The sequence below is a fragment of the Homo sapiens genome, chromosome X (genome assembly GCF_000001405.40).
Source record: "Homo sapiens chromosome X, GRCh38.p14 Primary Assembly".
NCBI classification, from domain to species: Eukaryota; Metazoa; Chordata; class Mammalia; order Primates; family Hominidae; genus Homo; species Homo sapiens.
In genome coordinates, this window is record NC_000023.11 from 41,083,127 (window position 1) to 41,097,107 (window position 13,981).

Genomic DNA, 13,981 nt, shown 5'->3' on the forward strand with positions numbered 1-13,981 from the left:
TATTGCTATCTTAATACTTTTATTTCAGTCTTGAATGTTTTTCAATGATGTTCTGTAGTTTTCAATGTACAAATCTTGCATTTCTTTTGTTAAATCGATTTTTAACTTTATTGATTTTGATGCTATTGTAAATGGAATTTTAACTTAATTTTCAGATTGTTTATTGCTAGTGTGTAAAACTATAACTGATGTTTAAATATTGATCTTATATCCTGCAGTTTTGCTGAACTTGCTTATTGGCTTTATTTTTTTTATAATGGATTTCCCAAGATTTTCTATATATAAAATCATGTCATGTGAAAGTAGCGATAGTTTAATTGTTCCTTTCTTATCTGGATGCCTTTCATTTCTTTTTCAGGCTAGAACTGCAAGTACAATATTGAACAGAATTGGTGAGAGGGGACATCCTTGTTAAAGGTGCACTTTTGATAGGGTTAAAAGACCAGTGTTCAACACTTTCCAATCCTGACTTCGGGCAAATCATTTACCCTTTCTGTTTCCTTATCTAAAATAGAAAATAACAGCCTATAGTGTACGCGGGTGGTCGTGTCTGCTTTTTAGAAGCCCATGAGCTAGTGGGGAAGCAAATGATTCATGGAAATAATTATAAAAACAAGGTAACATATGCTAAGAGTTATTAGGGCTATGAATGATACATCTTGGATACCCTATTAGATAATTTGTGGTGAAAAATTTGTAAACAATCTTGTGCTAAATAGAGAAATGGTTTAAAAATTTAAGATACCAATAACTTGCTTTCACTGTCACCTACATTAGTTTGGTTCCATTTTTAACAGTCTTTTATTACAAACTGATATAATCATAGCATAACTAAATTCAACCCTCTTCTCTATAAAATAGATCTCGGTTTGTAGGGTTTTACTATGATTTTGCATGCCATTTGATGTCCACAGGTATTTTTTAAGTCAAAAGGAAATCTGTAAATTAGGAACTGTTAATTTCCTCTTCATTTGGGCATCCTAGGTAGACTGTACAGATTTGTTCCAAGCACCCCATTAATTTGAGATTAGCCTAAGTTTTTCCTATGCCCGCACTTTGGAATATAAACATGTAGAAAATAGTCCATGACACAGCGGATGGGTTCATAAGTTTCTTCCGGGTCCTAACACCGAATTGTGCTGATGATCTGGCAATGGAGGCTAATCTTGCCACATCAAGTACGGCCTATTCGCTAAGCCGTCTGGGGCACTTTATAATTTTTTTCTTTGCTGGTCTGTTTGAAGGGCTCCTATGGCCAAAAAGGTGGTCAGTCCCGTCAGCTAGGCTGTGAGGACGCCTAAACGCTTTGAGGACGCCTAAACGCTTTGAGGTAGTGATGATGCATGATCGTGTGAAAGAGTTTCTCAGAGCACCTCCCTCGCGGGGTGGGGAAAAGGACCTCACTCCCCACGCCCCCTCCTTCCGCTGCGGGAGATAGCCACACCTTCCCCCTATCGGCGCCAAGCAGGTGGCCAGGCCCTCGGGACCTCGCGCCCCCGCAGCCAGTGGCCCGGCCAGCTCGTGCGTCACGTGACGCGGGTCAGCTGCACCGCCGGGACCTCCAGGCACCGCGGCGGCGACCGCCCAGCGCGTGGTCTCGAGATCTCATCTTTCCGCGCCCCTCCCCCCACGGTCCCGGAAAAGGGGGAGGCCGGTGACGTCATCATCCGGGTTCTTGTCGGCGGGGCTACGGTTCACAATGGAACAAAAACAAGCGGCCCGAGTCAAACTATGAGCGACGCGGCTGCGGCTCACGCGATTAACCCTGTCGTGGCCACACACCCCGCCAGTCCCTGCCGCCCAGCCCCTCCCGAGTGGTGTGCCAGATCTTTTCGGGCCTCCCTTCCCCAACTTCGGTCCTAGAGCCACCTCTGCCCTCGTCCCGCTCCTGAGCCGAGGGGCATGGAACAGGATTTCTGGCCGTAGCACGACCCTGAAGGGGCCAGCCGGAAGAAACAGTACTGCGCGAACAATCTTTACCGCATTGTCTTCCCCTCCCCCACCCTAGCTCTCCGGGTTCCCGGCGGCTCGCGCCGAAGCCCGGCCCCCTCAGCGGCTCGCGCTGCTCTCCCAGCCTTGACGGCCCGGGGTGGAGGGAGAGAAGAGGGGGCAGCTGAGCGGGAGGGGGCTGGGCAGGAGCAGGGGGAGGGCCGAAAGGAGGGGCCTGAAAGGGGCGGGCCCTGACGGGGGCGGAGAACTTCGGGTCTTGGGCGGCTCTGGGGCTAGTGGGAGTCTGCGCCGCCGCCGCCGCCGCCACCGCTGCTGCCGCCGTCGCCGCTACCGCCGCCGCCACTGGCCGAGCGGTTTTTTTTTTTTTGGTTTGCCGGATCCGCCATATTGACGAGGACGGGCATCCGCGGCTGCGGACGCTAGTCTCCGCCGCCGCCGGAGCCGCAACCTCTCCGCACCCGGCCCCGTCAGGGCCTCTGTCGCGCCTAGCCCCTCCCCGCCTTACACAGCTCCCGGGCCTCGCGGGAGCCCGCCGCCGCCGCCTCTCTCTCACGGGAGGCGGCCGCCTTAGCGCCCGGTGCTTGGGTCGGCGCCGGGAGCGAGGAGCGAGCTACTTCAAAGCCACCAGGCCTGGAGCGGGGACAGAGGCGGCGACTAGGGGAAGGTGAAGCCGTCGCTGCAGGAGGAGGAGCAGGAGGAGGTGACGCAGGAGAAACGCACCGCCCGGAGCCCGTCTGAGCTCAGCGAGAGCCCCAGCCTGAGGGGAGAAGGGGAAGAGGGCCGTCGCCGGCCAAGGAGGAGGAGGAGGCGGGCGCGGCGAGGAGCGAGTTCCGGCGCCGGTGTGCAGCCTTTTGGTTGAGACGCCCGCAGCCCCGAGCCCGGCCGCCGCAGCCTTTCGATACACTTTGTTGCCGGTCACCCCCGGGCCTGGGATGCACCCAGGGTAGGTCTCGTCCCGGGACCGAGCCCCACCGTCGCCTGGTGCCTCCCGCCTCCGTGTGCCCTGGTTGTGAGAAGACGTCTGTGTCGTGCGGTGAGTGGCCAGCTGCACTGGGGCGACGCTCTTTCCCGGGGCCAACAGCTGGATGTGGGTGAGGGGAGGAGGGCGAGGGGGGTGTGCGTGTGTGCGAGCCTCTTCCCTCGGCGGCTGCCGGCCAGGCTGGGGCTTCCCCGTTCCCCCTCCTCCGGCCCGGGCTGGGCGGGCGCGCGGGCCCGTGTTGTGTGTGGAGCCGGTGTCCCGAGAGCGTGTCTGTGTGTTTTGGACTGTAAGGGAAAATGGCTGACGGCTCCGTCCCTCCCCCTCCTCCCCCTTCCCGTCCTGTCTGGGGCCGAGTAGGAGGATGGAGTCTCCGGGCGTGGCGGGCAGCCCCCCCGCCGTCCGCACCCGGGGGCCGGGTCGGTTTGGGGGCTGGCCGCCCCCCGCCCGGCGGCCGCTTTCCTACCCGGTCTGGTTCCACTTGACACCAAACGCCATTACTGAGGTGGAGTGATTTGGAGCTGGGGAGCTAGGCCTCGGCTACGCCTGGCTATCAGGCCTGACGACTTGTCCGCCTCCCCCCACCCTCCCGCGATAACCCGCAGTTTCTCCCCGGCCCTGGGCTCCTGGAGTGGGAGCTGGGTTATCGGCCTCCTACACCTCCTTCGCCCCGCTTTATTTGCAGAGGGCCAAAGCCGTGAAAGGGGTTTTTGAATGCAGAAATCGCTTCCAAGCTAGCTTGGACCTATTACCTTTCTATTTTTAACTGTTTCTGCAAATATTAGCATGTGCGAGTTTGGTAGTGATCAGGTCTTCAGATTCTTGTGACGTGAGGCTTAGGGTTGGATAAATGGCTGATTTTTCATTCATTGTGAAATAAGTTAAAGAGTTATACAGCAGGTGTGTAGATGGCTTCTTAAATTATTTGTGTGGATTTCTGTAGCGACTAGAACTTACACGAGAATTTGCAAAATTTCTAGTAGAACCTGCTTAAATTAAGCATGTTATTTTTTGGAAGTTCCATAGTTACAACGTTAATTGAATTTACACGGTGCAGTTTACAGGTGTATATAATTGCTTCAGATTGTCTTTTAGTTTAAATAAGCAAGTTGTAGGTATAGATTAAATATTCATGCTTTATTTTTCGGGGAGAGAAGTATGTGTACTGTTCTTTTACCTGGAAACCCATGAGTCCCTAAATCTACTTAACGTTTGTATACTTTCACTTTTGAGGAAGAATGATTTGGGGTGCATTGATTAGGAAACTTTCCAGCAGGTACTTAACCCTCTCGGAGCTGATTACCCTTAGGTAAGGACTCCTTAACCATGACTAGCTTGGCTGGTTAGTACACTTGAACTCAAAAATAGAGACTATAAACTCTCCTTTAGATCTCGCTCGTCTTCTAATTCGCTGGGCTGCCATTTTGGTTTCAGCAAATACCTTCAAATTCTTGAAGAATTATGTATTAAATATAAAAAAGTGTCAACATTCGTTTTCTCAATTTTTAAACTCATGTGCTGTGTCATACATCTAACTTTAACCCTTTAAACTTTATCGTTCCAGCTTTTGGGTGGAGTGAAAGCTTGAAGTATTTGGAATTGGTGTTCCACAGGTGAACTCAAAATGTCTTTGGTATTTTACTGTTTTATTTTCTCTAATTTAAAAATAGGACGTTTGGACTATATGAATTCTCTCTACCCCTTTTCTTGTATTTTTTTGCATGAACATGTAACTTGTAATTCTGGTTATCAGCGTTCTCATGTTTCTTTTGTTTGCTGACCTTGGTAGTTTCTGAGAATTTCTGGAGGGAGTAATAGCACCAGCAACAGTACATGTGAGAATCTTAAGTTACTTCAGGAAGGAACATTGAAGGGCAGATTTTACCTTTCACCAGGTTATTGGGGTCTCTAGTTTGGTGTTCCATAGTCCATAGTTCTCATGGTTTTGTTTGTTTGTTTTTTTGTCTGTCGCCCAGGCTGGAGTGCAGTGGCACGATCTCGGCTCACTGCAACGTCCACCTCCCGGGTTCAAGGGATTCTCCTGCCTCAGCCTCCCTGGTAGCTGGGACTACAGGCGCGTGCCATCACGCCCGGCTAATTTTTTGTATTTTTAGTAGAGACGGGGTTTCACCGTGTTAGCCAGGATGGCCTCGATCTCCTGACCTCGTGATCCGCCCGTGTCGACCTCCCAGTTCTCATGTTTTATCTATGGAATGCTCAAGTAGGATTTACTTTAGATCTTTTTTCTTCCAGAGTCTTGTTTTTAATATCTTAAGGTATGAGATTTCTTTGCTATCTTCTCAGAGATTTTTCTTTGACATGGTGGTAATAATGCAGCTTATGGTTTTGAAATGGATGTTTGTCATGAATTTGCTAATCATCCAGTTCTTGATTAGTTGGTCACACAACAAGTGTCTTTGAGCTTATTTTTATTTAATAAGATCAATTTCTAACGTTTTAGTTTCAAAATTTTAGTATTAAAACCAATCTTTGTTTAAAACAGATGTTAAGAATTAGTTATTTGAAATATCTAGCAGTGTGTGTTAATGGATTAGTGTTCTTCTAAGTCTTTTGGGCAGTGAAGGTGAGGGGGGTCTTATCCTGAGATTGAGTTAGTTGATTTTTATTCTGAAAGAACGTATTACTTTTTATGGTAGCCTACATTATGTTTCCCCTCTTGTAGGTATGTTTTCTGAGTCTTGAATTGTTTTTCTTTTTTTTTTCAAAAAGGGAAAAAACCGGATTTTAGTTGTCATTTGGTTCTTTTAGGAGCTGTGTTTTTGAAAGCCATCCTGTGTATTGCTAAGTTCTTGTATTATTTTAACATAGAGTTTAACGTTAATATTTGGGAAAGAGTTAGTGCATTGGACCTCAACCCTGACTGGACATGAGAATCACTTGGCGGGGTTAAAAAACAACCACAACAAAAAAACTGATCCCTGGGTTCCACCCCCAGAGACTGATTAATTGGTCTGATAGGGAGCCTGGGCAAAGGTATATTTTAAAAGCATTGTGGATGATTCTTACATGCATTTGGAGTTGAAAACCACTGGGCTATTGTTTTTATCATGTTGTTAGAACTTTCAAGTGGATAAATAAGAAAATGGATTTTTTTCTCAATTGTTTTCAGTTATTAGCATGATTATCATTTGAGCATTAATTGTCTGTCAGCACTGTTAAGCATTTTCCATTTATTGCCTTACGATGGGTCTGAGGTCTGTCAGGTTCAACCAGTGGTGCTTCGACTACTGTGCTATGTTAGTGAAATGACACTGATTGCTATTTTTAAAAAAGCATTTAGAGCTTTTGGTTTGTTTCTCGTACCAGAGTAAGTTAAGATATAGTTTAGTTTTTAAGACTATCAAGATAGTCTCCAATTTGATAAATATCTTGGTTGCCCAAGGGAGATGTTAAAAGCTATGTGGCAAATAGGTTTCTCCCCTTCCATATATCTTCCAGCGTGCTCAGGGTGATAGTTTAGTTGGTGCGTTTATGACAAAATATTACACAACATTCCTAAAAGGTGTAGAAACTATGCATTTGTCTCCTAGTAATTTATTTAAATGATCCCACAAATTACCGTTTAGTGTCACATGAAATTCTGTTATCTCAGTTTGAGAATTTAGAGTTTTATTTGTCTTAGTCAAAATCAGTTTGATTTTGATTAAGCGTTTTGAATTTTGTGTTGTTTTGGGATTGATGTATAATTGTTTTATGGAACGAATGAAATAACAATAACAGACATTTATTTGGAGTTTCTGTCTCTTAATCCCCTTGGTCCATTGGACCAAATTCTGCATGGTGGGGGCATGGCAGCAGGGAAGCCTATAGGAGTTTAGGATCTATGAGGGTTTTTTTTTTTTTTTTTTTTTTTTTTTTGAGACAGATTCTCACTCTGTCACTGAGGCTGGAGTGGTCACGGTTCACTGCAGCCTCCACCTCTCCTGGGCTCAGGTGATCCTCTCCCCTTAGTCTCCTGAGTAGCCGGGACTACAGGTGCTCCCATGCCTGGCTATTTGTATTTTTTTTCTCTTTTATAGAGATGGGTTTTGCCTTGTTGCCTAAGCTGGTCTTGAACTGCTGGGCTCAAGCTGTCTGCCTACCTGGGCCTCCCGAAGTGTTAGGATTCCCGGCATGAGCGACTGGGCCCGGCCCTATGAGCATTCTTAGTGTGACACAAGATTCCCCAAAGATCTTTTTGTTAAATTATAGAAAATGAGACTATAAGGATCATGAAAAAAGTTGATGTAATAAGGAAAAAGACTTAAAACTTCTAACACTTACCTATATTGGGCATTGAATTTATAATTTATTGTGGATTATAAAGTGATGACCATTGTAATATACTTTTAAAGAATAACTTGTGAAAAAGTATATTGTTAGGATGAGATCGCTTACCTAAAATTTATTCTTCAAAGATACTCATGCTAAATCTTGGTGTCTTCAACGTGTGTATACACACATATCTTATATTTGGCAGCAAATGGATTTTCAATTTTATTCTCAATCACTGCCTAACAAGGATTTTCTACCACCTCTGTGTATCAATCATCTGTGGAGCTTTTTCAAAATATATATTTGCTCTATAGGTGAGTCTGATGTGTAACCAGAGGTTTTTTTTTGCAGTCCCTTTTAGGGAAAGGGGAGAATTGAGACCCTTTGCATGTCATGTGTTCCACCATTAGGCAGCAGTACTCTTGTTTGAGTTTCGTTTTGTTAGTCACACAGTCAAAAATTCCAGACTGAAACACAAACATGTAGTGAAAAGCTCAAACACTAGAAGAGACAGGGATTCCACACTCACATGTATTATATACAGTATATGTGCACATATATATCAAATTTATTGTCACTTAGCACCTTCTCGGTGTTACGGTTCCAGCTCTACTATAAACATTAATATCTGTTAAGACATTTGTTTCCTTTTTAATCCGTTCAACAAATACTTCTGGGGCATCTGCTGTGTGCTAGGCACTGTTCTAGAGATTACTGTTGTCTAGAAGCTAACATATGAAGTGAGGTGGGCTGGACTAGCTGATCTCTAAAGTCTTTAGTGCTAGTTTTCTGGCATTCTTTTATGTACCTCGTAGGAGAGATTGGATTAAGTTGTTATTTAAAAAAACTTTGTTATGGTATATGCCAATTGAATTTTTTTTGTCACTAAATAGAATTTCATTCTGAACTCCAGTTTTCTCCAGTGAGCCCAAATGTCAAGTATAGTAGAAATAGGTTCTTTTGGAATTCTTGGCATACTGGCTTTAGGAATAGCTGTACTTCTGATGCTGTTAATTTTTGACCAGAAATTACATACTCTGGTGTCACCCCTTACTCCTGCCATTCCTTTGCTGTATTGATGCTCTATTATCTCTATACAGTGTGTTTTTCTATTTAATTTACTTTGTTTAGGTGTTTTGATTAATTTTGTCCTCACAATTCTATCTTTAAGGTTAGTGGCTTTCATTCTAAGTCAGTGATAATATCCTTAGCACCTAGAAAGTGCCTGGCATATAGACATTTAGTAACTGTTGGATGAATATAGTTTATCACATTCTTGCTATTTTACTTATTTTTTGCTAAATCTTTTTACTTCTGGGAGTCACTTTTCTTACTAATCTCATTACAATGAGAAATCCTGGAAGAGATCTCAATTCTTTCTAGTCAGACCCTTCATTTTTCAGATGAAAAAAATGGCTCAAAGAGGTGAAAGGTGAAGTAACTTGACCAAGATAGCATGCCATAGACTACCTTCTTTATGAAGCTATATCTATATGTGTCAAATCACATTAATTATTAAATTCTCTGTAGTCACTCATAAAATTAACATTAAACTGTCTCCCTGGTAATGGATAATAAGGTCAGGGATTCTGTCCTTTACCTTTGTATATTACAGAGCACCTAGAATAATACTGTTTATAATAACCATTTGATTACCTGAATGGGAAAATCTGGGGCAGTATTTAACTTGCAGTACCTCCAACCTCTTGTACAGAATTGATTCATCTTCATTTTATGGCACCCTACAGTTTATTCTTATTAATCATGTGAGCTTTGAACACCATGTTAGTCAACCATAATCAAAGGAATTGTTTTCCTTGGGATGAGTTTGAGCTGGTGATCGTGCATATTAGATCCCATCTTCTACAGAGCCTGTGAATTGGGTGGAAAGGAAAAAGGGAGTGGCGAAGCCTCCTGTTAGTATCCTTGATGTCCATTTTATTCCTGCTGACTTTGGTGGCTATTGAGAGTTATAAGTTGAGGCTGTTGGTTACATCTCTCATTTCTAGTCTTTTCTGTTAACTGGTTACTTAGAACTCCTAAGTAAGGCCGCTCATTATTAACTTGGACCCCAGAGAGCATGGAAGTTACCGTATAGTATTGAACCCATTTCTGCCTAACAGTGTTTTCTCTCTGGTCGAGGTGTAGTGTACAAAGTTTTGGTTGCTCTGCTTGGTAACATCTCTGGAGTTCAGAGCACAGGGATCAGTAAACTTTTTCTGTAAAGGGCCACATAGTAAATACTTTGGACTTTGTGGGCTAAGAGGCAAAATTGAGGACATTGGGTAAAATTTTTATTGGTGAAATAAAAAATATAATTAAATACAGTTATGTATAACTTAGGTCTAATGAGAAAAACAATTTGGTGTGTGTGTGTGGAGGGGAGGTAATACAGTATTTTGCTTTATTGGGTAAAGTTCAGTGTTCCCTGTCATCAAATTGATTGCAGACGTTCTGTGTGAAATCCATTCTTACCTTGTGAGCTGTACAAAAACAGGAGGCTGGAATTGGTCTGTTACCATAGTTTGCCAGCCCCTAGTTAAGAGCAGTGATTTTTTTTTTTAAGAGGAGGGGTCTCGCTGTCACTCAGGCTGGATTGTGGTGACGCAATCATAGCTCATTGTAGCCTGGAATTCCTGGGTTCAAGGCATCCTCGCACCTCAGCCTGCCGAGTAAGTAGGACCACAGGCCGACATCACCTCACCTGGTTAATTTTTGTTAGAGAACAGGGGTTTGACTGTGTTTCCCAGGCTGGTCTCAAACTCCTGGCCTCAAGCAATCCTCCTGTTTTGGCCTCCCAGTGTTGCTGGGATTATAGGCCTGAGCCACTGTGCTTGACCTCCTATTTGATACACTATATGTTAACAACTCTGAACCTCCTTTCCTTAAGTCAGGTTCAAACTTCTGTACATTAGCTGATGAAAGGGATTTCTTTTTATTGCAAGGTGGTATTGCCTGAGAATAGTTTGGTTTCAGCAGCTTTGCTGTATTTGTACGGCAGTATCTTGTGTTTATGTGCAAGTTCAGATGTATTTTGCCTTTTTATAAGAATGAGCAGAAAACAAAAAAGTAAATGGCGCGATCTCGGCTCACCACAACCTCCGCCTCCTGGGTTCAAGTGATTCTCCTGCCTCGGCCTCCTGAGTAGCTGGGATTACAGGCATGCGCCACCACACCCAGCTAATTTTGTATTTTTAATAGAGTTGGGGTTTCTCCATGTTGGTCAGGCTGTCTTGAACTCCCGACCTCAGGTGATCCGCCTGCCTCGGCTTCCCAAAGTGCTGGGATTACAGGCATGAGCCATCATGCCTGGCCTACCTGGAGGTCTTAAATATCCTTGAGACAGAGGGAACTGGTTAGGGATATGAATCTTAAACCTTACTGGATTAGGTTGTGCTCATTGGTTAGGTTAGTTGGCTTTGTGCAAATAGTGAATGCAATAATTAGAATGAAATAGGAATTAAGTGAGGCAAATGTATGATGAAGTTTACATTTGAAAGGTGAGGGTATAATTAGAAATAAAAGTTTCTGTACTCTGTGAGTGGGAAAAACCCCTAAAAAGGTGACTGTCGTTTTTGAAATTTTTGACTTCTCTCACATTTTCGGGAATGTGAAAGGAGGATACTGGCTATGTACAGCATTTGTCCAGACTTTTGAAAATATAGAAAATCTCATTTACTCATTTAATTAGTGTGTATATTATCTGTTTACTGTGTCCTTTGTAGATATAATTAATTATCCAGGATTCTTAAGAGTTGACTTGGAGCATGCTGAGCTGAGGCAAGAGGGATTGTGGGGCCAGACTGAGTGTTGGAGGAGGAACCTACTGTAGTGACTACAGGTGTATTTCTTTTTTCTTTTTTTTTGAAATGGAGTTTCACTCTTGTTGCCCAGGCTACAGTACAATGGCGTGATCTCGGCTCACTGCAACCTCCGCCTCCTGGGTTCAAGTGATTCTCCAGCCTCAACCTCCTGAGTAGCTGGGATTACAGGTGGGTGCCACTATACCCGGCTAATTTTGTATTTTTAGTAGAGATGGGGTTTCACCATGTTGGCCAGGCTGGTCTCGAACTCCTGACCTCAGGTGATCCACCTGCCTCATCCTCCCAGAGTGCTGGGATTACAGGTGTGAGCCACCGTGCCTGGTGTGTTTCTTGTCTGATGTCAGTGCATGTCGTTATCTGAGCCATATCAATGTCAGCTGAGGATTGCTTTGTTATCCTCGGTGCATTATGGGAAGGAGAATCATGTCAGTGCTACCTTACTGTGATTGAATTGAATTCATTGATTTAATATAGATTCAGTTAGTACGCCTTATCCATAATATTTGGGATCAGAAGTGTTTCCGATTTTGTAATTTTTTCCCCATATTTTGGAATATTTGGAATATTACTTGCGGGTGAGTGAAAATTCAAAATCCGAAATTTGGGGCCAGGCGCGGTGGCTCACCCCTGTAATCCCAGCACTTTGGGAGGCTGAGGCGGGCAGATCACTTGAGGTCAGGAGTTCGAGACCAGCCTGGCCAACATGGTGAGACCCCCGTCTCTACTAAAAATATGAAAATTAGCCAGGCATGGTGGTGTGCACCTGTAATCCCAGCTACTCAGGAGGCTGAGGCTGGAGAATCCCTTGAACCCAGGAGGTGGAGGTTGCAGTGAGCCCAGATCGCGGTACTGCACTCCGTCTAGCCTGGGTGACAGAGCGAGACTCCGTCTCAAAAAAAAAAAAAAAAGTTCAGATTTTGGAGCATTTTGGATTCCAGATTTTTCAGATAAGGGATGCTCAACCTGTGCCATTTTAGGCACCAGAGGGTATATAAAGATGATTCTCTGCTTTCAAGGCTCTGAAGTATGGTGAACCAGACAGTTATACAGTGCAATTACAGCTGTATTAAGTGGAGGTGTGAAAAGTGTAGTAGGAGAGATGGAGAAATCATTGTTTGGCATTGGGTGAGGTCTTCAAAGATGTCCTATTTTCATGGCCCTATTAATTAGAGCAGGGACTTCCGGTCAGAGGGATCAACTTGAGATCAGGCAGGGTTTTTTAACCCTATTGACAGTTTGGGGCAGATAAGTCTTTGTTGTGAGGTGCTGTCCTACTCAGCCCTGGCTTCTACCCACAAGATGCCAGTGGTATAGCCCCTACCCCACTCATATGTCTTCAGACATTGCCAGTTGTGCCCTGGGGGCAAAATTGAGAACCATTATTTGAAATGGAGCAATGCAAGTGTGAAAGTATAGTGTTTTCAGAGTAAGAACTAGTAGGAGAGTGTGCAAGGAACACTAGAGATACTGGGAGGGGAGGGGTTATGGGAGATGGAACTGAAAGGTAGTTTGAGTGAAGCTAAAATCACAAGGGGTAACCTTGAGTGCCATGTTAGGACATTTGCCTTTTACTGTTAAGGTAATGAGAGATGTACTTTGAAGTTTAAGTGAAAGGAGACATTAGATTTGTGTTTGTTTTTGAAAGATAATTCTGATGGCATTCGTGGCAGATGTGTTGGAGAGTTGAGTGTCGGGGGATTGAGATGGTATTTTAACCGTTCTTCTGAAAGATAAGAAATAATGATTAGGGAATGGAATAAAGGAAGGAGATCAATGGGGTGCTCCCATGGTATGAGGGAGGTGCTGCTAATTTGAGTTTGGCTTTTCTGCCACAGAATGGAGTACTGAGCTAAAAAGCAAAACACCTCTATTGTCTTCCTTTCAACTTTTCCTGCCACCTCCAATTCCCTTTCCTCACTGAGAGCTGCTGTCTGTTGAGGTCTGTTGAAAGGTCATTGAGAGAAGGGAATCTGGGTTACAGAATGACTACTCTCTCAATGTGGTTCCTTAAACAGTGGATTATCAAAGCACAAGTGTCATCTTCCCCCCCGCTCCCCGCAAGGGGTTAGACTGGCATCCAGAGAGCATTAATTGTAGCCTCTCCTTGGTTTGTGTAGATGTTATTTTGCCCTAAAATACTTTGATATACAAACATAGGTGAATAATCTGATGGTTTAATTGTAATTATTTCATTGCTTCCTATTTTGGAGGTTAGCTTTACTATTTTAAGTGAGAATGTAGTCAGTGGAAGGGTACTGGACTTGGAGTCACAAGATCTGTGTTTTATTTTTTTATTTTATTGATTTTTTGAGACAGAGTCTCGCTCTGCCGCCCAGGCTGGAGTGTAGTGGTGTGATCTCAGCTCAGTGCAACGTCTGCCTCCTGGGTTTAAGTGATTCTGCTGCCTCTGCCTCTCAAGTAGCTTAGGATTACAGGCACCACCACCCACGGCGAATTTTTGTATTTTTTGTAGAGATGGGATTTTACTATGTTGGCCAGGCTGGTCTCAAACTCCTGACCTCAGCTGATCAGCCTGCCTTGGTCCCCCAAAGTGGTGGAATTACAGGCATGAGCCACCGCGCCTGGTCAAGAGCTGTGCTTTAGTTCCAGTTACCCAACTCCCTGTGTTAAATCACTTAGCTAACCTCTTGGGTCTTCATGACTCTGTAAAACCAAGATGTTGGGCAAGAGGTGAGTTAAACTACTACTTTTTTAAGTTCTTAAATTTTATCTTTATTCCTAAAGATGTGGAAAAATCTGTAGTCAAGAGAAATTGTCAAGTAAAGGAAAACAGAGAAGGTAAACACTTTAATGGGTTTAGAAGTTGGTTATATTCCTCCATTTACTTGTCAATCCAACAACTTGAATGTCTCCTCTCCCTTGTTTCTCCTGTGTGGTCTGAAGGGCTTTATTTTATTTAGAATCCTGTGGGTTAATTGTGCTTGGCCCACAGCTT

General features: G+C 44.2%; 1 protein-coding gene across 8 annotated transcripts in view, besides 7 other annotated features; it reads left to right on the forward strand.

The window, feature by feature from the left end:
- Positions 1,270–1,564: an enhancer, noted in NCBI's record as "tiled region #13807; K562 Activating DNase unmatched - State 1:Tss, and HepG2 Activating non-DNase unmatched - State 1:Tss". NCBI's record gives its function as "activates a minimal TATA promoter and a strong SV40 promoter by Sharpr-MPRA in K562 cells, with weaker activity in HepG2 cells {active_cell/tissue: K562 | HepG2}" and the evidence as "EXISTENCE:reporter gene assay evidence [ECO:0000049][PMID:27701403]".
- Positions 1,270–1,853: a biological region, named in NCBI's record as "Sharpr-MPRA regulatory region 13807".
- Positions 1,314–1,853: an enhancer, noted in NCBI's record as "H3K27ac hESC enhancer chrX:40943693-40944232 (GRCh37/hg19 assembly coordinates)". NCBI's record gives its function as "activates a minimal SCP1, AML or CMV promoter by ChIP-STARR-seq in primed H9 embryonic stem cells {active_cell/tissue: H9 hESC(primed)}" and the evidence as "EXISTENCE:reporter gene assay evidence [ECO:0000049][PMID:30033119]".
- Positions 1,474–1,543: a silencer, noted in NCBI's record as "silent region_20770". NCBI's record gives its function as "represses an Ori minimal core promoter by ATAC-STARR-seq in GM12878 lymphoblastoid cells {active_cell/tissue: GM12878}" and the evidence as "EXISTENCE:reporter gene assay evidence [ECO:0000049][PMID:35858748]".
- Positions 1,974–2,353: a silencer, noted in NCBI's record as "silent region_20771". NCBI's record gives its function as "represses an Ori minimal core promoter by ATAC-STARR-seq in GM12878 lymphoblastoid cells {active_cell/tissue: GM12878}" and the evidence as "EXISTENCE:reporter gene assay evidence [ECO:0000049][PMID:35858748]".
- Positions 2,319–13,981, forward strand: part of USP9X (ubiquitin specific peptidase 9 X-linked) — a 151,135-nt gene continuing 139,472 nt past the window's right edge. For 4 of the 8 annotated variants that reach the window (NM_001410748.1, NM_001410749.1, XM_047442548.1 and 1 more), the window contains exons 1-2: positions 2,319–2,983; positions 4,491–4,539. The gene's annotated coding sequence lies outside the window, so the exon portion shown is untranslated. The remainder of the gene's footprint in view (positions 2,984–4,490; positions 4,540–13,981) is intronic. The other 4 variants (XM_005272675.5, NM_001437534.1, NM_001039590.3 and 1 more) reach the window with 1 other exon arrangement.
- Positions 2,392–2,929: an enhancer, noted in NCBI's record as "H3K27ac hESC enhancer chrX:40944771-40945308 (GRCh37/hg19 assembly coordinates)". NCBI's record gives its function as "activates a minimal SCP1, AML or CMV promoter by ChIP-STARR-seq in naive H9 embryonic stem cells {active_cell/tissue: H9 hESC(naive)}" and the evidence as "EXISTENCE:reporter gene assay evidence [ECO:0000049][PMID:30033119]".
- Positions 3,054–3,513: a silencer, noted in NCBI's record as "silent region_20772". NCBI's record gives its function as "represses an Ori minimal core promoter by ATAC-STARR-seq in GM12878 lymphoblastoid cells {active_cell/tissue: GM12878}" and the evidence as "EXISTENCE:reporter gene assay evidence [ECO:0000049][PMID:35858748]".